At 49.1% G+C, this 21,504-nt stretch overlaps 1 protein-coding gene across 25 annotated transcripts in view, besides 7 other annotated features; it reads right to left on the bottom strand.

Moving 5' to 3' along the window:
* Positions 1-21,504, bottom strand: part of TMEM8B (transmembrane protein 8B) — a 36,288-nt gene that overhangs the window by 12,085 nt on the left and 2,699 nt on the right. For 4 of the 25 annotated variants that reach the window (NM_001042590.4, NM_001042589.3, XM_005251483.5 and 1 more), the window contains 11 exons: positions 18,781-18,970; positions 18,213-18,420; positions 12,164-12,297; positions 11,637-11,905; positions 10,714-11,039; positions 7,363-7,456; positions 7,050-7,173; positions 6,820-6,962; positions 6,436-6,614; positions 458-604; positions 174-290 (listed from right to left, as the gene is read on the bottom strand). In NM_001042590.4, the coding sequence (NP_001036055.2) occupies positions 174-290; positions 458-604; positions 6,436-6,614; positions 6,820-6,962; positions 7,050-7,173; positions 7,363-7,456; positions 10,714-11,039; positions 11,637-11,905; positions 12,164-12,297; positions 18,213-18,420; positions 18,781-18,970 (1,931 nt within the window). The other 21 variants (XM_011517902.3, XM_011517901.3, XM_011517903.3 and 18 more) reach the window with 16 other exon arrangements.
* Positions 4,837-4,956: an enhancer, noted in NCBI's record as "active region_28343". NCBI's record gives its function as "activates an Ori minimal core promoter by ATAC-STARR-seq in GM12878 lymphoblastoid cells {active_cell/tissue: GM12878}" and the evidence as "EXISTENCE:reporter gene assay evidence [ECO:0000049][PMID:35858748]".
* Positions 4,987-5,056: an enhancer, noted in NCBI's record as "active region_28342". NCBI's record gives its function as "activates an Ori minimal core promoter by ATAC-STARR-seq in GM12878 lymphoblastoid cells {active_cell/tissue: GM12878}" and the evidence as "EXISTENCE:reporter gene assay evidence [ECO:0000049][PMID:35858748]".
* Positions 5,247-5,386: an enhancer, noted in NCBI's record as "active region_28341". NCBI's record gives its function as "activates an Ori minimal core promoter by ATAC-STARR-seq in GM12878 lymphoblastoid cells {active_cell/tissue: GM12878}" and the evidence as "EXISTENCE:reporter gene assay evidence [ECO:0000049][PMID:35858748]".
* Positions 6,180-7,055: an enhancer, noted in NCBI's record as "H3K4me1 hESC enhancer chr9:35846373-35847248 (GRCh37/hg19 assembly coordinates)". NCBI's record gives its function as "activates a minimal SCP1, AML or CMV promoter by ChIP-STARR-seq in naive H9 embryonic stem cells {active_cell/tissue: H9 hESC(naive)}" and the evidence as "EXISTENCE:reporter gene assay evidence [ECO:0000049][PMID:30033119]".
* Positions 8,525-8,819: a silencer, noted in NCBI's record as "tiled region #825; HepG2 Repressive non-DNase unmatched - State 24:Quies, and K562 Repressive non-DNase unmatched - State 22:ReprW". NCBI's record gives its function as "represses a minimal TATA promoter and a strong SV40 promoter by Sharpr-MPRA in HepG2 and K562 cells {active_cell/tissue: HepG2 | K562}" and the evidence as "EXISTENCE:reporter gene assay evidence [ECO:0000049][PMID:27701403]".
* Positions 13,105-13,294: an enhancer, noted in NCBI's record as "active region_28340". NCBI's record gives its function as "activates an Ori minimal core promoter by ATAC-STARR-seq in GM12878 lymphoblastoid cells {active_cell/tissue: GM12878}" and the evidence as "EXISTENCE:reporter gene assay evidence [ECO:0000049][PMID:35858748]".
* Positions 16,840-17,753: an enhancer, noted in NCBI's record as "H3K27ac-H3K4me1 hESC enhancer chr9:35835675-35836588 (GRCh37/hg19 assembly coordinates)". NCBI's record gives its function as "activates a minimal SCP1, AML or CMV promoter by ChIP-STARR-seq in naive H9 embryonic stem cells {active_cell/tissue: H9 hESC(naive)}" and the evidence as "EXISTENCE:reporter gene assay evidence [ECO:0000049][PMID:30033119]".

Below are 21,504 nucleotides of genomic sequence, written 5' to 3'. Positions count from 1 at the left end.
TTCCTCTGTATCCTGGTTGTGACCTAAAGACACCTGCCAAGACTGGAGCGGACACTGCCAGCAGCAGGTGATGACGACAGAGCCAAGCCCACCTTAAACTGGGGACCAGATACCTGGGGCCCAGCACCCAAGTCCTGCTGGGACCCTCCCCCCACATCCCTCCCCACCCTTACCCAGGCTGTGGCCAAGATCCCCAGGGCGAAGAGACTGGGTCCAAGCAGGTTCCAGAGTCCATGTCGGTCAAGCTGCAGAGCCATGGACAGCAGCATAGCTCCCAGCAAATACAGCACCTAGAGAAAGAGACTCAAGGGCTGGGCTAGGGCCAGGTGACAGACAGCACTCCAGGGCCTGGGTCAGAATCATGAGAGGCACTTGGAAATGCCCCCAGGGAGAGGTCAGGAGTGGATTTCAAGGAGACTTGGCCATGGTTGTTCCCCAGGGCCCACTCTGGACTGACCTGCTTGACCACGGGCTGTAAACGAGCCATGGCAATGACAGTGACCCACACGGACATTAAGGAGCCCAGGAAATCACAGAACTGCAGCACATCGTAGTCCATGATGCAGAAAACCACGATGCCTGGCTGGTCACAGGCATGATAGAACTGAAGGAAGAAATGACAGGCATTGAGAGAACTTGAGGCAGAGGTCCAGATCTACAAAACCGGAGGGGTGGGCCCAGGGGTGGTGTGCTGCTGTCAGTGCAGCAGAGGTGAAAGGTCACAGATGAGAAGATCTGGGAAATGCCTGACTCCCCAAATCCTGAGAAGAATGTGGTAAGGAGGTCCAGTCTGCTACATAACTAATATGTATCTGGCAGCCCTGACCCTGACCCTGAGCTTCCTAATCTTCCTGCTTCTGGAAGGTGCTGTGGAGAGTGCCCTGCCAGGGGGTTCTGATACCCTCAAGCTGAGGCCAATCCTGTCCCTGTCTCCTCATGCTCACCATGGATCCCACCTATAATCCCCATCCCTGGCCCAAGCTCTAAGCTACCCAGAAACCAAATCTCCCCACTATGTCCCAGTTTCCCCTGCTAGCTCAGACTCTGAACTGGGCTTCACTCTCAGGGCTTCCACCAACTGACCCTCTTCATCCCTTCCCAACAAATGCGGGGAGTGTGTGGCAGGTAAGAAAAAAGGCAGTCCCTAAGGCCATGGAGAGAGGCATGGCACTTCACACCATGGGGAAGAACATGGAGAGGGGACAGTGTCCACCCATCCTACACTCTGGAGAACATAGTGAAGAGTGGACTATTGAGGAGGTTCAAAGGGGATGCAGGGAGCAGAAGTGGAATCGGATCAGACTCAACTGGACATCCTAATTAAGGAACCAAGCAAAGTCTGCCATTAGCTCCCTTGTCTGTAGTTCCAACCCATGTCCAGATTGTCTCTCTGGACAATGCCATGGCTTCCAGCATCCTGTGTTCCCTTATTTGTGAAAAAAGTTTTCTAGGCATAACTCTTTAGTGGCAGAGATGCCACCAAAAAATCTGGAAAACATATTCCAAAGTCAGTCTCTAGAGACAAAAGATGAAAAAGAAATCGCTAATGTTTCCTTTGACCCTACTGAAGATGTCATCCAATCATTTAAACTGCAAAAATTACAACTTCAACAGACAAATTTGGAAAGGAAGAAGCTAGGATCTTAGAAAAAGAAAACAAAATGAAGACGAAAACCTGGGATATAAATTGGCATCAGGAAACTTTGGGTTTGATTCCTTTAAATTTTAAGCTGCAAGACTCAAGCTTGCGTATCTATCTTCTTTCTTTTCCTTCACTTTGGAGGTAAAGAATTTTGCTCCTGCAAAAAGAGACTGCCTAAGGATGAACATGTTTTAAGTGGGTGTTCCAGGCTTTCGAAAGGGCTTGTTATTTTGGGGACATGGTTCCCTCTTAATATACTGTTAAATTGAAAAAGTGAGTTCTCAATGGGAAATTTTCAGACTTTTCATGTAGGTCCATATCAACATTAGAATGAATTTTTTTAGGTTGGGTGCAGTGGCTCACGCCTGTTAATCCCAGCACTTTGGGAGGATGAGGTGGGCAGATCACTTGAGCCCAGGAGTTAAAGACCAGCCTGGGCGACATGGTGAAACCCCCATCTCTACAAAACACACAAAAATTAGCTGGGCACGGTAGCGTGTGCCTATAGTCCCAGCTACTTGGTGGGGAACAGGGAATTGGCGGGGGTGGGGGGCAGAAGGGGCTGAGGTGGGAGGATTGCTTGAGCCCAGGTCAAGACTGCACTGAGCTGTGATCATGCCACTGCACTCTGCCCTGGGTGACAGAACGAGACCCTCAAAAATAAATAAATAAATAAAAATGGTTAAGTAATTAATGTTTGAATACACCTAAGAGACTGGTTTATTTTTCAACTATTTGTATGTGCTGATTCATTGGGAGTTAATTTAGTTCCTAAACAAATCAATATATTGGTCTTTTTCTATTTTAGCTATAGGAAATTGATTATTCTTTGCCTCCAAGACCAGACATAAGTACTATAGGCCACTAAATTACCCAATACTGTTTTATGACTTGGATTTTATTTTAAAGAACTAATTTTACATCCAGCCTTAACCAAGCACTGGCTCCATATGCTTCACTTTCAAGTATATAGAAAGAAATACCCAGAAGTTTCTGGGAGAGAGATTTGTACTATATTTCAGACAAAGGAAGATATATATCAGCAGAAAAAAGGCAAAGCTGAATCACTAAACATTGAAGACACATCTAGGGGAATAATTGAGGGCTGACTTTCTCCTAGGAATTTGCACTAAAAGAAGAATAAAGAAAAATGGAGATATTATCTCTAGAGTGGAGAGGATTTGAAGAAATCATTTCACTAATATTTTACGACTAATTATTTTCCAGGTATACTAAAAGGTCAAAGAGATTGTTTAAGGTTGTGAAAAATCCACAGGGGTAGAGTTAAATTAAAATTGTAGTGTGAGGGAATTAGTCCACTAAAAACCGTGGACTAATTTTTAGATTGGCATTCCTTTTGTCAACAGCAATAAAAAGAAGTAGAAGTGACATAGAAAAATCAGGGAATTTAAGAAAAAAAAATTAGACTACAAACTGACTTCTATTAATATAATTCTAATCTAAGTTGATAACTTTCTCAGCTTTGGCCATTATTTATGAAGCAATGTAGGGAAATTATCCTGCAAGGTTTTTTTTCTGTGGAATTTTACATTTTTGTAACAGTGCATCTAATGCTCCAAAATGGGCTATCCAGGCACTGCAGAATGTGGACTATAAACGCAAACGTAGTTAATCCATGCCCAGATTGGAATATAATGGAACTTGCTGTTACTCCCTTATTTCCTGTTTTCTGCTTTCATTTTCTCTTGGAAACAGTTATGGGATTTTGCCAAGAGACAGTGAGAATGACCTGGGATGGTCTGAGGGATATAAGGCGTAATGAGAAGGTGGGCTTGTAGCCAGGATGCCAGCAATCAGCAAGGACACCTGCACAGCCCCAGAATGCCAGCTCTGTCTGGGTCTTCTGAGATCTAATTACAAGGATTCAAGGAGCACTGTGATGGATACACAGTTTGAACAGTACGGGTTCAAGTTGCACAATTAAAATGTTTGATATCTTTGTCCTGATGGTTTCTTATATTTGGCTTAGTTGTATTTTCAGATCTCTTGATCGGCTCTTATCTTTTAAGAATTTGGTGAGAACTACTAAACTGGGGCCATGCCTTTTTCTACATACTCCAGGACTTAAGAGAAACTGAAGTTGGGTTAAAAGCATATCAATGCATGCTCACTGCCCTGGTGCAAAGGGAGCAATATCATCTGTTACATGTGAGGGATCTGGAGTCAGGCTCACCCAGATTCTAAGGTAGATACTCACCTTCTACCTCAGGCAAAATATTTAACTTTCCCTTATCTACAAAAAAAGGATGACAAGAATAAAAGCATGTATCAACTATAACAGTACTATTGTGAGGATTAAATTAGCAGTGTCTGAAACAGCACATATTCAGTGTATGTCATTTTGTTGTAATCATTATCTGAATTGTTTGCCTATATACAAAAATCAAATGCTAAGTTTGTGGCCTGTTTTTGTTTTTTCAAAACATATTTTACATCTGTAAACTCCTGAATTATAAACCTACTGTCTGCTCCTATGTTCCAGATAAGAATGGATTACTACTCCCAAGTGTAGACTGTCCTGGATTATTTGAAGACAAGGAAGAGGACTGTTATCTCCTGTCCTAGTACTGACAACTGCAATTTGACCAATGGGTCCTTAAATGGACACTGCTGCAGAATGAAATAAGTCTACGAATGGCAAGGAGGGACCACAGAGAACCTGCAGGGAAAACAGAAAACATAGTTTTATGTTCTGGCCCATGTGGAAAAGAACAGGAGTGAGAGCAGGACTTTAGGCAACAACTCAAAGCCAGTAGCTTTTCCTTATTGCCTTATTTAAGAAAATGTGAGATTTTGGCCCGGCGCAGTGGCTCACACCAGTAATCCCAGCACTTTGGGAGGCCAAGGTGGGTGGTTCACGAGGTCAGGAGATCGAGACCAACTTGGCCAACATGGTGAAATCCTGTCTCTACTAAAAATACAAAAATTAGCTAGGTGTGGTGGCATGCGCCTGTAGTCCCAGCTACTCAGGAGGCTGAGGCAGGAGAATCGCTTGAACCTGGGAGGCGGAGGTTGCAGTGAGCTAAGATCGCGCCACTGCACTCCAGCCTGGGCAACACAGCAAGACTCTGTCTCAAAAAAAAAAAAAAAAAGAAAAAAAACAAAGAAAGAAACCGGGAGCTTTTTATGTGGTGCCAGGCACTTGAGGCTCTCCTAGTACTCCTGCTACAGGGAAGGTCTTTTCAGGCTGACAGCCACTGTATCCAGATAAGGAAGAGTCATCTAGCACTGAACACTCTGGAGCCAATCAGGATACTTGTGTCAAGTCCAGAGAGTGAATATGCTCTCCCTACATGCTTCAGGCTCCTGACACACTTAGGTATTCTTACTAATTATGAATCACATTCGATCTGCATGTAGCCGAGAGTGGGCTGGTAGAACAGCTGTTGCTGGAGGATTTGGTGAGCCACAGTAGAAAGGGCATCTGGCAATACGAAAGAGAAACAGTGTCTAACATAAAAATAGAATGAGGCACTGTGGGGGCAGGCCTAAAAAGGGGCCAATCAAGCAAAACTGGGGTATATGCTTCTCACCCAGCTTAAAGGGCCAAGATCTCTCTCTGCAGCATGGTTGCAGACTCTTCTTCCTCATCTCTGGATGAATCTCCAGGAGGACCCAGGCCCCTCAGTTTCAGCACATTTGCCCCTGCTTTCTCCCAGATGAGAACTATGATTTTTCTAATTTAGACATATGTCTGACCTAGTAATGCAGGATGCCAGGAAGGCCTGTCTTGCTTTCTGTGATATCCTTGCTGACAAGGCCTGAGCAGTCTGAAACCATCTAAGAGTTTTTGCAGTGCTCACATGCATGTCACATGGTGCCAAGAGCCTAGAGATGAGTTGAAAAGATTCCCAGATGTGACACTTCAGGGGTAAAAAGTCTACTTGGGGGTTAAGTAACATTAGCAGGCTCACTTCTCTACCTTTCCTTATAGTTTCTGGACGCTTGCTTATAATGAACTTTTCTGATTATGGAGGAGTGAGGAAAACACAGGAAAGAGATTGTGGCAATTCTGCAATGGGAATGGAGGGGTTTTAAACTATATTAATCTTCATCAAAATGCACTCCTTTGAGCTGGGATGTGATATGACACTGCCACTTCCGACAATGCCTCAGGACATAGTTGAGTCTGTAAAGCTTCTCAGGACTCTGAGAGTCAGATTGTCCTATAATCCCCCAATAGAGAGATCCCCTCTATCTTTCCAAAGTTCTCATGAGAAATCAAGGTGGCATGGTGACTGAATGGGAACGCCATTTCAGACCACAGGAACGAACGTGCTAACGATGTGCAGGTCCCCAGTGCGACGGAGAAGGGGAGCTCAGAGTAGCTAGCTAGCTCTCATATCATGGAAGAATGTGGTGAAGATGAAGACACTGTGTGCAGAGGTGTGGGGGAAAGCATAGATTTCCTGCCCCCATACAGAGAACATGGTGACTGTGCAGACACAAATCCATACTTTAGGCCAGTTTCTTGGCCCATGATTTGAGTAAAGGTCCCCTCAGCCCTCAGGGTGGACAGAGTGTGGAACAGCTGGAGGCCCAAACTTACTTTATTAAGTTGCAAACAGTTTTGTTCATTTACTCCAATGTGTCTTACAAAAATGACCATTATCTATGCATGACAGTTTGGGAAGCACTGCTGTCTCTGTCTGTAGAAGACACAGTGAAGGCACAGACATTCCCAAACCCTCGGAGAACGTGGTGGAAATACAGACTGTGACCCACCACCATGCACAAGCACCCAGTGATAAGATGCAGACACCACCGCATACCGTGGAGAAGAACATGGTGAAGGTGTAGACTGCAGCTTCCAGCACATATCGACTCCGAATGGCCAGGACCACAGGTGGCAGAAACATGAGGTTGCTCAGGCAGAGCAGGAGTGTGGACAGCAGCTGGAATCCATAGGTGAGCGCATCTGCACTGTCGGTGCAGCCCCAGCCTCTCCACCCTGCGGGTGGGGAAGGCACAGAATGGAAGAGAACAGACGGCAGCTATGGGCCTACGCCACAGCTTGTGGAGGGTGGTCTCACCCCGGCTCTGCCAAACCCGTCCCCAATTCAGGCTGCGCACTCCCCTACTCCCGCCGCCTGCCCACAGGCCCAGCAGGTCCACCTCCAGTCCACCGCAGCCCGCTCCCTCGCCAGCCTGCTCACCGGCCTTGCACTCGCAGGCTGCGTACAGATAATTGTGTGTGCGCAGCAGCTTGCACTGGCCGTAGGGCCCGCAGTCGTCCACGCATGGGGACAGGAAGGTGCGCATCCGCACCTCGGCCGTCGCGTTGCGGCACCGCACGAACCTGCGCACAAACTCGCAGTCACCTGGGGCCCCGGGCCACCCCCGCCAAGTCCCGGTCCCAGCCCTGGCCCCGCCCCGCACCGCTCACCGAGGCCCCACCCCGCACAGGGAGCGGAGGGCCAGGAACCAGGTCCCCGTCTGCGGGAATGGGATTCGCAGCCTGGCAACCCTGGTGGTGGCACTGACAGAGAGGAGGAAGCCGGCCAGGGACTCTGAAGGGAGAAGGAAGGAGTCAGTGAGAGGGAGGAGGGGTCAGAACCCAAGAACCCTCACCCACCTGCTCCCACTTCCCGGAACCCTAGCCTATCATTCCTCCATTCCATCCCTCCCCACCTTCACCTCTGCCCGCCACCACCACCCCCACACTGCAGCTTCCTCTCCTCCCCCATTCCTCACCTCACCTTTGGAACAGGTCACTGCTGCATCCCCCAGGCTCAAGGGCACCTCGTGAGTCAAGCATCCAAACACCGTCACGTTTTCCTGGCGCACGGAGCTCTGGGGAGGGCAGGTATGGAAGTGAGGCCGCCACATCCTCCATCTCCACCCACCGCCACCCTCAGACTCCCACCCCTGTTAACCCACACCTTCCAAGGACAGCCCATTCCTCCCGGCGCTCTCCACGCCAAAGCTGCTCTCTCACCTCCATTCTCAGAACAGAAAAACTGAAAAACAACAGATCCTCCACAGCAGAAATCTTTCAAGGACTGATGAGACGGCAAGGCCCAATTTTGAATCTGTTCTTTGGGCAGAAGTGTTTCAATTCTGTCCAAGCAAGAGAGAACACCCTCTTTTTCAGTCCTATCTAGCTCATTAAGGAGAAGGAGGGCTGTTGCCAGTTATAGAAACTAATTGTGGACAAAGGCAATTGTAAGGTTTCCCATCATCTTCACCTGGACCCCAAGACAGGTGGAGCATGAAGACACTCACTCCAACTCAGGTGAAATGATCCTAGGTACTGAACAGTGGTAACAGAATGCCCAAGAGATTAAATGTAGCAACCTGGCTGGGATTAAAAGAAACCAGATATCTGCAAGAGTAAATGTAAGGTGTTGTCTACAAGAATAAAGGCAACAGGATGCCATAAGCTCACCTCATTCAAGAAGGATTTGAGGCAGCTTACATAAAATAGAATATAATAAATGCCTGAGGGAAACTTAAAAATCAGGACAGGAAAATAAAGTCTGTCCCTAAGGTAGGCCATATATTTGATACTGCCTTCCAAGCAACCAAAGCAAAGGAAGTATCATGAGTTACCAGATTTGCAACTACATAATATAAAAGCTAATCAGAGTCTCTGGAGAATCACAGCATCCAAAGGGGAAGTTCTGAGATAAATTCTCATCAAAGCGGCACTGTGTGTTGTCATGCATCCTGTCCTCAGCCACAAGAGTGAGTTTCATACAACTTCCTTATATAACTTCCTTCAATGCAAGCCCGGGGCAATATGCCAAAGTATTACTCAGTGAAAGTCTTTCTAGGAGGGAGCCAAAGAAAAAAGTATATGCAGTTCTCTGATCCAAATGTCCAGTTCTTGATCCAAGGGGAGAAAAAAAAATCAAAATATTTGGAGGAAATACCTTTCAGAATAAACAGAACAGGCTGAGGTGCTTAGCACGCGTCATAGAATGCAGATGGATGGAATGTAAACAGATGCTCATTAAAGTGAATGGATGGGAATGCAGAGAGGGAAAGGGTGAGGGGCTGCAGGAGGGCTAGGCTTCTATTCTCAGGGTACTGAGGAAGAAAGAACAAGTATGCGTAAGGCTGTCCTCTAATTCAGGGTCTACGGTTTCAAGGTCGAATCAAGATCTCACTGTCATTGCCCAGAGGCATGGCAATAAGCAAACACAAAATACATACAGTCTTAGCTAGAACAAAGAGAGAATTTGATTATGTAAATAAGAAATATCTTCAGGTTGAATAAATGGCTCTAACAGGACGACTAGAAAGTTCTAAGCCGTGTCCCATAAAAGACCACATGAAGCCACAGACCAGGCCTCAGGTTGGCTGATGGGAAAGCGGTCCCTGCTCTCAGGGCTGGAGGATAGTAGAGTTAAAAGGATCCCTGGCTCAGGGAACAGCTAAGCTGAAGATATTCTCTAATGGGCCAACATAGGGCTCCGCCCTCATCTCAGTCTTAACGCTGACAGTAATGACTAAGAAGTACAAAAAGTTGGCTTTGCAAGTGTGTGAATTACACAAAGTGGAGAAGGCCCGAGTTCCAAACCAGTATTAGGCAATACCTCAAGGAGGGACATAAATTCTTCCATTCAGGTTCAAAAATTCACTGCAAAAATGCAAGATGCGAATTGGCACCAAAATGTATATGCCCCTTGATTACAACTAGATAAACAAAGTAATTAATGTGGAAAAGACATGGGAGGACATAAACCAAAAACAGCTGTGGGCCAGGCACAGTGGCTCACACTTGTAAACCCAACATGTTGGGCGGCCGAGGCAGGCGGATCAGTTGAGTCCAGGAGTTTGAGACCAGCCTGGGCAACATGGTGAAACCCAGTCTCTACTAAAAATACAAAAAATTAGCTGGGTGTGGTGGTGCACTCCTGTAATCCCAGCTACTCTGGAGGCTGAGGCACAAGAATCACTTGAACCTGCGAAGTGGAGGTTGCAGTGAGCCGAGATCACACCCCTACACTCCAGCCTGGGCAACAGAGTGAGACTCCGTCTCAAAAAAAAAGGGTTAAACAGTTGCATTAGGGAGATATTTTCCCCTATTTTCCAAAGTTTTTATGTGATCCTATTACTCTTATAATAAAAAAGTAAATGTATACAACTGGTTTGAAGAAAATACAAAGGAAGTAAAGGGAAAAGACCCAGGGATCTCAGTTCACCACAAGCCCTAGGTGATCCCACAGTGTAATGCAGCTGCTGAAAAAGGCAACTCAATCTCAGGCAGCACAAATGCAAGTCTTGTTACCTGGTACCCCGGTCCGACCACCTCAGATCACTTATTTCAGAGACACAGTGACCACTAGAAGTATGACCAGGTGAGATAGTGAAGGAAGGGGAGAGATCCAAATACCAAGACCCCTAAGACACTGAGGTTCTTCAGCTTTTGGGTGGTTGCAGGTAACATCTGAAGGGCTGTAAAAATAGGACTGGGATGTAATAAATATATCATACTAATGTAAGATATTAATAATAGGGGAAAACGTGAGAGAGTGGGTATATGAGAACTTTGTGCTTTCTGCTCAACCTAAAACTGCTCTAAAAAAAATTAAGTCTGTTGCTTTAAAAAAGAACAGGACAGAGATAGATTTACTGGAAATGGCTTCTGGATATGGCTTTTACCCACTGAATCAAAGATGAGTGGGTAAAAAATTCATGGAGACAGATTTTGATGGGATGTCAGGAATGCCTTTGGCAATCAGCGCTATCCAAACATGAACTGTGTGGCCTCAAGAGGTGGTAAACTCCCCATCAAAGGAGATTTGCAAGAAAAGGTTAACAACTACCGTAGTGAAAGGCCAGTAATGAGCAGGAAGTGAGCCTACAAAACTGGGAAACCCCAGACACTGAGTTGACCTGGTTGACCCGCCCATCTGTAGCAGAGTGAATACTCAGGACATGTTTGTTGACCAGAATTGGGCTGAGCCATGGTCCCTAATTGTCAGGATGGGTGGGAGCAACCTGGACAGGCTTCCTGGAGGAGGTAAACACCCCAACACCCCTGACACCTTCCCCTTCAAGCTCCCTGGCAGAGCAACCTCCCCACTCTCCATAAAGAGTACCGCATTGAGCTGGAGCTCCAGGCTGAGGACGCCTCCACTGTCCAGCACTGGCAACAGCCTCATGGCGAACACGGCTGGGCGCTCAGGGGGAAGGGCCACACTTGGGCCAAAGAAGATGTAGAAGTGGACAGAGAAGGTGTCCAGCTCGTTGCGCAGAGTCGGGCGCACTGGCCAGCAGTGCTCGGGTGGGGACGTGGTCCCAGGCCCCTCCGCAGGGGTTCCAAGGGATGGCGGTTCTGGGGGCAGTGGCTGGTTGCCCAGGGACTGGGGCATGTTCATGGCAGCTCCAGGGACCAGGGCTCGGAGCAGGCCGGGCTGTGGGCACTCTGTGGGGCAGAGGAAACCAGAGCTTGGGCCTGCAGCCTTTACAGTCCTGAACTTACTCATAAACACATCTGAGCTAGACAGGATTTCGCAAAGAGTGGGGAAGGATGAGAACTAGAATGCGATGTCCCTTGGGAGTGTGGGGCATCCAGGTTTATAGGGGTTTCCTAATGGTGACAGCTAATGCAATACCACACTGGAGGGAACTGAGGTCATCTATCCCTCCCTAAAGGCATTGAAGACACTATTGAAACAGATACTAAGTATGAGAGGCTGTCTCACTGACTTGCAAGGGCTTTGGCAAGGACAGTGTCCCAGAGGTCCTGGATGTCCCTGCCTACCCCAGGAAACTGAGAGATTAAATCAAAGAAAGTAATGAGGTCCTTTAGTTGTCTCAAGTCAGATGCAAAAAAAAAATTATCTAAAGGCCTTCCAATAACTTGGAGCTCCAAGTGTGATGGCTTCAGGGAGCATGAAGGAGCTTGGGATGGGGAGGGGAGGTTGTAGGGATATGGCAGAGGGCCACTGAACACAGCCACCCAAGTCACTTCCCAACCACAGATGTCTACACAGACTGGGGCAAATGCAGGGGTTCTGACCTTGCAACCGCACACACAGCTGGAAGCGGATGGTCCTACCAGGGCCCCGGGATGATGTTTCCACACGCACGTAGACCCAGTGCCCCCAGGGGGGCAGTGCCAGCTCCAGCTGGCATCCTGAGGCACCTCCACAGGCCACAGAGCTTGAGTTGTGCAGGGGTGGGGCTTTGGGACGCAGACGCAGTGACAGGGGGCAGGCAGATACCCCACGGCCCCCCACACACACCAGCTGTGCTGAAACCCTGTAAGTGAAGCTGGGCACAAAGACCCTGGGCAGAGGAGAGGTTGGGGGTAAGAAGGCACAAACAGAGGCGAGAGGAACACAGGGCAAGGGAAGCACTAGGAAGGAGGGGGCATAGGGTGGGAAGGAGGCCTGTTCAGGTCTCCCGCTCTGTGCTGGGAGGGAGGGAGGCAGGGATCCCACCCAGGGACCAGGCAGGTAGGTGGAGAAGCCAAGAGAGAACCCTGCAGCCTGTATGAGGCCACAGAAGAGGGAAAGGACCAGGTGTGGGGAGTCTTTGACTTACTTGTACAGGGCTGAGCGATTGTGTGGGGAGAGGGTTTGCTCTGAGGGCCGGCCAGGAACCAGCACAGCGACGTCCAGCAAACGCCGGACAATCAGCTGCGGCTGAAGGAGGTACTGACACTCATCCTGGAGACCCTGGGACAAAAGCAGGGGTGGCAGGAGAGGGAGAGACAGCAGGGGTGTGACTAAACCAAGGCAAACAGAACCTGCTGGGCGGGCTGGGGAGAAACCCCCGCCCCGGCCACCACTCCCAGGCCTCTAACCCAGGTCTCTCTAAATTCCAGGTCCTTCCTGCCTGAGCAGTCATTTCTGGTCATCTCTGTCCCACCTCAGTCTGCAAGGTCTGCTGGGATCCTCAGCACTGGCTGAGGTTTTGGGATTCAAACCCAGGCCCTCCTGACAATCAGGCCTGGCTTGCCCCTTCTCCCAATCTAACCCCTCCCCCTGAGCATTCTGGGCCAGCCCAGCAGCACTGTGATCTCCAACCAGCCCATTCCCTGAGCAGGCTCAGGAACTTAGAACACTGGCTCTTTTAGGCAAAGTGGGGTGGAGTGGAAAGCTCTTTCAAGGCCTCCAATCCAGCCCCCTCACTCTCCCCGCCACCAATCTCAACCTTTAATTTCCTTTAGTCCTCACCCTGCCCCGCTCCCACGTGCTTGTCCAGCCTCTGCTTTCACACTCATTACACCCAGGTAATGAGCGGCCCTACACAGGTAATGAGTGCAGGGCCACTCATTACTTCCCAGGCAACCTCCAGACTATAAGCAGCTTGAGAACAGGAACCCTGTCCTATTTGATGTTTGTTCCTCCAGACACAGGGCCTCACATAGAGTGCATACCTCACAGATGAATGTTTGCTGAATTAATCAATCAGTAAATGGATCATCCCACCTGGGGGAAGCGCTGACCTTGCTAAAGCCAAATCCTGTCATCTTTGATGCCCCTGCCCCAACTCTGCCTTCAAGGGACCCACTGATCCGTCTGGTCCCTCAGCCTCAGACTGTGTTTCTTCTGCTGCTAAAGGAGATCAACCACGTCTCCCCCAGCTTCTCTTCTGGAGAAAATCCCCAGCTCCTTCTCTGTTGACACCCCATGGCTCGCAGAGCCTCATCACTCTCCAGTAAGCTCAGTCCCATTTGTCGCAGTTCCTCTTCTGCAGCACGTGCAGCTATATGAGCCCTACAGACCTCACAGTTAAGGGGAGGTGGGGGCTCCTAATTAGGACATACCTTCAAACTCTGTTCTGGGACAAAAGTTCCAGGCCCTGACATCCCACTGAGTTCCATGGCTCAGAACAAGCCAGCCAAGGCACTGACTTCCAGCAAAGCTCCAAAAGGCTGGAAGGTCTGTGCCTTTTGCATCCCCAGTGTCTAGCACACCACCTGGCACACACTAGGTGCTAAAATAGCTGTTAAAGAATGGGTGTCAAAAAGGGGGTCCCTTCAGAGAGCTCCTGAACCAACCTAGATGCTCAGGTTTGGTGTCAAACCCGAAGAACCAAAAGACTCTCATAAGTCACTGCACTGACCCCACCTCCTATGGCAAGAATCACCACCACAATAATCTTGTAGTGAATGAGTCCCAAGGGTGGGGGCTCATGCTCCAGTGGTGGCCCATTTCCTTGCTAGACAGTCCAGGGAAGGAACACTTTGCTCCACGTTTTGGAGTTTTACTTGCGTTTGATTCAATGAAAGATCAGTGGACATGACCTGTTTGGTTAAGACGTGCTCCTTCCTTCAACTGTGTAACGTGCACAGCCAGTCCCCCCTCTTCATGCAGAGGGAGTGTTTAGTCAGTGGAGACCAGGGAAGATGCAGGGAACCGTCACCCAGTGATGGGACCAGAGAAAGAGCACCGGAAGTCAGGTCCTCAAGAGCTGCCAGGGCAGACACCAGGTGAGAGAGTCCCAGCTGAGCCAAGAGGCCAGAAGAACATCAGCAGTCGGGGAGGCCCAGGGCACAGGCAAGGAAGCTCAAGAAACTAGGAGAGGCAAAAGTGAGATGTGGATGGGCTACAGGCTGAAAGATCCTGGAGTCTAAGGCATGGTAGATAGATTCCTACAATGTCCTCGTATGTATGGGCTGGGTTTCTTCAGAAAGGCCTGAGTGGGCTGGCCAGTGCCAGGCTCTGGGTGGGGCTTGCAGACTGAAGATGCCCAAAGACACTTAGCCTTCTCTGCGGGAATAGCAAGTGCACAGCTGAGCCCATGCCCAGAGGCAGAAAGCACCAATCAGTGTAGAAGCAAACGAGTGCTGGACAGATTTCAGGGGGCAAGGGTGAAAGCAGGAAGACCACTTATGAGGCTACTGTGGTAGCCCTGGAGAAAGCAGAGAAGCTGTGCTAGAAGTGGAAATGAAGAGCTGGAGAAGCCTTCAGGGCATGCCTCAGAAGTAGCGTCAACAAGACTTTTTCTTTACGATTGCTTGTGAGGAATAAGGAGACAAGAAAAATCAAGGATTTGGGGCATTTAATTTGGGGCTTGAGCAATGGGTGGATGACAGTACAATTTCCTGAGGAAGATCACAATGACTAGAGAAAGAAGCATGGACTGGGAGCAGTGAAATGGAAATTAAAGAGTTTTATACTTTTAGCTTCACTTTGATTTGATTTTACTAAATACTGTATGAGACATTTCTTAGACATCCAGTTGGAGATGTCAAGTAAGCAGTGGGATATAGTCTGAGATTCAAAGAAATTAGGACTGGCTGAATACTCGTGGAAGCATTAACATATAGATGGTATTTTAAATTATTGTGCTGGAACACCAAGCAAGAGAATAGAAAAGTGAAAAAGGAATTGTTCGAGGACCAAGCATTGGGCCACTACAACCTGGAGATCAAGCAGAGGAGAGGCCAGGAAAGGAGACAGAGGAGTGGGCAGTGGGAAAACCAGGACAGTTCTGTAAAGTCACAGAGGCCAAGAAGGGAAGGTGTTTCAAAAAGAAAAGAGTAATATAGGGGACTAGTTAACAGCTAGTTACTAGTTAACTCTGGGGCGGGGAATTGGAGACTGGAAGAATGGAAGAGGAAAACTTACTTTCCACTGTATATCTTTTGTACCTTTTGAATGTTGTACCAGGTGCATGGATTGCCTATTCAAAAAATAAATAAACTAATGTAGGAGGAGGAAAAGCAGCTGCACTATTAGCAGATTCTAACCACCTCAGCTGAGATATTGAGTCACGTGTGGTCCTAGTCGGTGGATTCAACAGAATCCTTTCTCCTGTACAGTCGACTTCTTCACTTTCCTCGTAGTTGCTTTCATTATTTTACCTACTTTTTCAAATCTTAGACACAGGAAGAGGAAGGATGAGAACCTGCACTCTAGACATTTGGGAGTACTTTCCCCTCATGAGCCATTTGGGTGCCAAATGGTATCCACAACCCAAAGGCCAGCCCCCCAGAGCAGACTGGCAACTGGGCACCTTAGAATGAACACACGATCCAAAACAGGAAAGGCAAGGAGATGGAGGCCGGGGACAAGACAGAGTGGCTGATAGGAAGAAAGGGACAAGGAAAGGACGTGAAAAGGCATCATGTGCCAGACTCTGCACTGGAGGCTAGGAATACGTAGTAAATAACACAGACACAGGGTCTGGCAGAAGTGTGGGACTAGAGTTCACGAGGGTGGCCCGGACCAGGTAAGTCACTTCTTTTTTACAACCTTTCAGGGCTCCCTATCACGCTCAGGATACAGTTCAAATGTCAAGGCCCTTCGTGATCTGGCCTCTGCTCAACCCTCTACCTTCCTCACCACCCCAACACCAGCCCACACTGAGCCACTTCAGTTCCTTCTAAACTTTGGGCCATGCTACTCCCACCACCTGGAATGCCCTTCCCTGCCTTCTCAACCTCAGACCTCACCGCTTAACAGTTTCCAATACCACCTCCACCACGCTAGCAAGCTGAGTTAGCCATCTCCCCTTTATCCTCCTAAAACATTTCCTATATCCGACATGCATCTTATTTTTCTCTGTGTCCCCAGCACACAACCCAAGGCCTGGCACAAAGCAGGTACTAAAGGACTAAGGCTAAAGGGAGATCTGAGCTCATCCCCAAAGCTGAGAAGGACCCTAGAAACACACTGCCTTCTTATCGCTGGGACTCTTCAGTTCCCACCAAAGGATAACCCTAAACCCACATAAATTCCTGTGTTCAAGCCTTACAGGAAGCATGCCATAGTAGGGGAAGGAAACAAGTTGAGAAGATGGAGGAATGCTCTAGACAATTAACCCACAGGCTGGAATCCTGGAAATTAACCAGGATCTGGAGAGCTGAAGAACCCTTTGAGGACCATATAAGACTACAGAAGTTAATCTAATTCTTAGAAGGACCAGACCCAAGATCCTTGCCCCATCAACCTCTCAAACAGGGCTGATGGAAGCACTACATCTCTCACGGCGTCCAGACCCACTGCCACTCGTGGGCACGGTGGGATGGTCCTCTTCTGTCTAGCCTCACCACACACCTGGGGAAGCTCTGACCAGGGTTCCAGTTTGGTACCAAGTTCCCCAGGCCCCGCTTCCCATGTCTAGATGCAAATGCACATGTCAGACCTAGTTATTTCCTCACTGCCCAGCTCCCCCTTGGTCTGGGCACTTGAATCACCCTTTAGGGTCTGAGCAGCTTTTCTCTGCACTACTATCTCTATTCCCCATTGTCCCAATCTGGTAGCCATAAGCAATCCTGACCACTTCTAACTGGGCCTCAGCTCCCACAATCCCAGCCCAGGCCTAGGCCCTAGGTTCCTGCTCACCTAGAAAGGTTTTTGGATAACTAGAGCCAGGCTTCAGGAGGATTTTCCCTGTCAGTTCTTACAAAGTGGGTCAAGGATCAGAGTTGGGATAAAGAACATCCCTGTTGGGATTTTGCCAAAGACCTACGAAGGCATTCCTTCTAACAGAAGAACCCTCAGTTCTGATGAGAGTCAAGGCCTACCTAGAACCTAGGGCCCTTTCCAAGCTAGCTCCCAACATGCTGTCCTTCAGCAGGCTCACAGGCCTTGATAGGGAGTTCTCTTGCACATCCACATCACTCTCAGGAAAAACGGCCCTGTCACTGAGGCCTAGAGACACTACCTCAGCCCTACTTCCCATCTCTGACAATAGCAGTGCCAGCACCCTTGTCCTTATGTGAGTCTCAGCTCATTCAAAGGCACTATTCACCCCATTTCTGAGTGCTAAGAGTCCTCTTCTTTAAATCCTCACTCTGTTCTTGCTCGTTTCTTCACCCTCACCACAGGCCCCATGCACGTGGCCATCCCACTCTGACAACAGCCAGCTCAGCACACCCCCTGCTTCTCCTCCAGTGAACAGGAATAGGAGACCTGTCTGGCCTAATCCATGAGAGTGGCAGGAAAACATTGCAGCATTTCCTTCCACTCCAAACCAGAGAGACATCTGACCTTTGAACCTGCCCTTCAGTCTTTAACAACCTCTGTGAAATAAGTGCTTGGGGTGGCTGATATTTGGAGAAAAGTGAGGCAAAGGCCAGGATGGACACTAGCTGCCCAAAGCCTCCTTTTAGCAGGAAAGAGCTTCTCTTGTGGTCTTCTGAAAGGTGTAGGAAGCTGTCTGAAATTATGATGCAAGAGGAATACATTCTCCCAGATGGACTAAATACTGGGCCGTGGCCTAAGAGAGTCTTCAGGGCTATTGTCAATCAAGATGTAAAATAAAACCAGTCCTGGGTGTGTGCAGCAGATTGGACCAGCCCATAGCTGGCTTCTGTTCACCTTGATTAACATTTGTGCCTTCCACTAGGAGGCGGCACTACTCCCCTGTGCCAGAGCCTCTGACTCCAGATTCTCAACTTTCCCTTCAGCTTACCTGGACCCAGCATGTCCTCCTGGGGCTGCCAAGTTGCCTCCTCCAGATCATGGCCTCTGACCCACTGGGTGACCTGCTGGCCTTTAGCCATGCCCCGCCCCAGCCACCCTTGTGCTGCTGCCCACCCTGACACAAGGCTGGTGTGCCAGAGAGCCTGTGGGGGGAATTCAGCAGAGATGGAAGGGCAGTTCTGGACCCCCGAGCCTGGGCAACATCAACCCACCTTGACAGAGATGTGGCCGTGGGCCTGGGGAAGGTGGGCAGCCAAGAACCAGTCCCCAGGTAAGGGGCTGCTGACGTTAAAGATGCCTGAGGTGCGGTTGGGCAGTGTCCAGCTGAGGGTCAGTGAGAAAACCCCAGGCACAGCTGTGTCCCCTGGGAAGTGTGTATGCAGGGGATTGATGACAGGGGGTGCCCCGGACCGGAAATACCTGGGGGACCAGAATTAGGAGAGGAGGAAAGCAGACAATGGGGTGGGAGGCAGGAAATGAAAGAAAGAAAGAAAAGAACTGTCACTCTTCACCGATAAAACAAATAGATTCCCTATACTGACACATTCAACAAAGTGGTTCCAGGTCAGGGGCCACAGGTGAGAGATCAGCTCAAGCACTTGCACAGTCATACAGTAGTCCGGAAGTGGTCATGTGACAGAGGTCATGGCCCTCACTCAGTCACACTTCAATCTGGACGCGGGTTGGGGTCAGGGTCGGGAGGTCAGTTAAAGTCACACTTTAGTCTGGAAAGTGGTCAGGGATTGGAAGTGGGGTTGGGAAATTAACTCAGACACTCACACAGTCACACTTTGGTCTGGGCAGTGGTCCCCAAAAGTTCCCCCTTGCTCCTTGAAGATGATGAGGTTCCAAACAGCCAGGAATGTGTCCTCAGGAACATGGAAGTGGAAGAGCTCGGTGCTGGCAAAGGAGCGGAAAGGACTCAGCTTGCGGGGTGAGCAGGTGGAGTAATCAGTCAGGAAAAGGCCTCCTGGGAAGCAGGAGAGAGAGAAAGGAGCAGGGCAGGACAGAGGGCATTTCCATTAAGCAACAGGCATGCCAGTCTTCCTCACCAATAGCATCAACTCCACAAATGCTCTCCTCTGAGCCAGGAACTGGGTTTCAGGCTGCAGATCTGAAACCTAGCCATCATCTGGTTTAATCCTTACGTTAATCTTATTTAAAAAAAAACAAAAACAAAAACAAAAAAACCCTCCTTTTACAGATAAGGAAACTGAGGCTCAAACCTAGACCAAACTGAGGATGCAAACCTAGCTCTCTCTAAATCCAAAACTAAGACCCTTTGACTTCACAGCTGCCTCCTCACTTAGGAGCCATTTTCTCCACTTACCAAACCTAAAAAAAACAGATGTGTGGAAGGTGTGTGTGTGTGTGTGTGTGTGTGTGTGTGTGTGTGTGTATTTTGGCATGGCGTCTTAAGCCACTGAGCAGGCTGAAACTCCACCTGTGGGGCTTGGGAGTCAGCATGGAACTGTGTAACTTCCTTGTTGATTTTCTTCCCCTTTCTGTTCCCCTGTGGTTAGGAGCAGTAAAAACCCTCAGCAGCCTCACAAGCGCTGCCTGTATACTGGCTCAGGGCAGGAGAGGGGAGGGGAAAGTGTGGTACGGCTGCCAGGGGCCTGCTTGGGTGGCAAAAGCAAGGACAGGAGCTGGCAGGCCACCATGAGAGTCCCCAGGAAAGGAGAGTCATCAGGCCTCCCAGGTCAGAATGCACAGCTAGTAGGTGGGGGCCGGGGGAATGTTCCCCCAAAGGGAAGCCCAGTGAGGCAGTGAGTTAGTGACCCAGTGGATTTCAAGCCCCTTGGGAATATTCAGAGCAGGCCGAGTTGGGAGGTGGGGAGGAAGTGGTCATCCCTCATTAAAATGCCAAGATACCTGATCATGATTGTCAGGAGCAGAGCCAAGGTGAGCAGAAGTTGTGTCAGCAGCTAGCCAGGCAAGGGACTAGAATAGCTGTCACAGTGGAGGCAACCAGTAGCAGACAGGGGAAGAGGGTCCCAAATGGCAGGCAAGGTCTCTCAAAGTAAACCTCTAGGGAATCTGACTGCTCTGGAGACTTCGGACCAGCCAGAAAAGAAGCCCAAGATGACACCTCCAGGACAGGTGAGAAGGTGGGGAACTCAGCAGCTTCAGGACAGACCCGGGGCTGGAATAAGGACTACTCTGGAGGGGCATTTTCAGCCAAGCAGGAAATACCCTCAGGGCTAACCTAGTCCAATCATCTCCCTCTCTGGAGATGGGAGAGATTAACTCCAAAAATGAGGTGTTTTTGAAATAACAAAGAAAGGGAAGGGGAGGCTGCTGAAGGACGAACACTGAACCAGAGCAACCCCAGGAGTCACCCCAGAGAGCTGCCCTACATAGGTGGGGGCCATTGGAGGCCACGGTTACACTCAAGGACTAGTCTGTCCAGTTCAGACCACATGATCAGTCTCAACTGTCAGGAAGGAAAACCTGTCACCTTGCAAGCTGAGCACTGCCTAGGAACCCAGAGAGGCTACCAGTGCAGCATTCAGAGAGTGATAGAGATGCAGCCGAGAGGGATAAAGGGAAATGGGACCGACTGATGGAAGAGACGGGTTTCCTAGGAACCCTAGCTGTGCTAAGTAGGAGGCAGAAGGCTAAGAGGTGAACAGCCTGGATACTATTGTTAGAAGAAATCAGAACTCTAGCGCACCTTCTGCTGGGGTTAGGGAAGGGCTGATCCTCCTCAAAGCTGGTACCAGGGATGGGTCATCTGATCAACCATTGCTACCGTTAGGAGAAATGTTGGTCAGTCCCTCGGTGCAGACCCTCAGATGAGGGCTAGTGGTGAAAAGCAGTTTAATGACCTTTGGGAAACATGGACAGACAAGCACAAAGATCCTTGTAATTCAAAGGATCACAGTATGGCCTGGGGAACTGGGGAACTAGCTAAGCCATCCCCACAGTGGCCAGGGGCTACAGAGGTCACAGAATAGGCCAGTGAGATAAAGGAGTGAGCAGCAGCTGGGAATGCTAGGAGGAACTTGGAAGAAGTTCTGAGGGCAGATGCTTGAGAAAGGGTCCACAGCCCCATTCACTCCAAACTTTGGTTTGCGGTTTGAACAGGGCCTACCAGAGCTGTGTCCAGAAGAAGCATGAGTAAGGCCCTTACCGAGTTCAGATGAACTTATTCCAGGTTCCCCAATATTTCTATGATGAAGCTAGGGTAATTCCGACCATCACCCACCCCATACACACATACACATACACACACACACACACACACACACACACACACCCCTACACCTACACACATAGGCTGAGGCTGGCCCTGCTAGTAATAGCACTAGGTAGAATAAAAGCCCATTTTTTTTTGAATAGCAAGGCACGTGTGAGTCCTCAACTAAGCCCAAGGAAAAGATCCAAGGATCAGGAGTGGGACCACTAGACCCAAGAGATAACTTCCATTCCTGAAATGAAACCGAAGCAACCAATAAGCACTGTGCAGCCCTGTGCCATGATGGTCCTATGACACTGCCA

The sequence above is a fragment of the Homo sapiens genome, chromosome 9 (assembly GCF_000001405.40).
Source record: "Homo sapiens chromosome 9, GRCh38.p14 Primary Assembly".
NCBI classification, from domain to species: domain Eukaryota; kingdom Metazoa; phylum Chordata; class Mammalia; order Primates; family Hominidae; genus Homo; species Homo sapiens.
The sequence above is the reverse complement of the archived record's forward strand: the minus strand, read 5'-3'. Positions and strand labels throughout refer to the sequence as shown.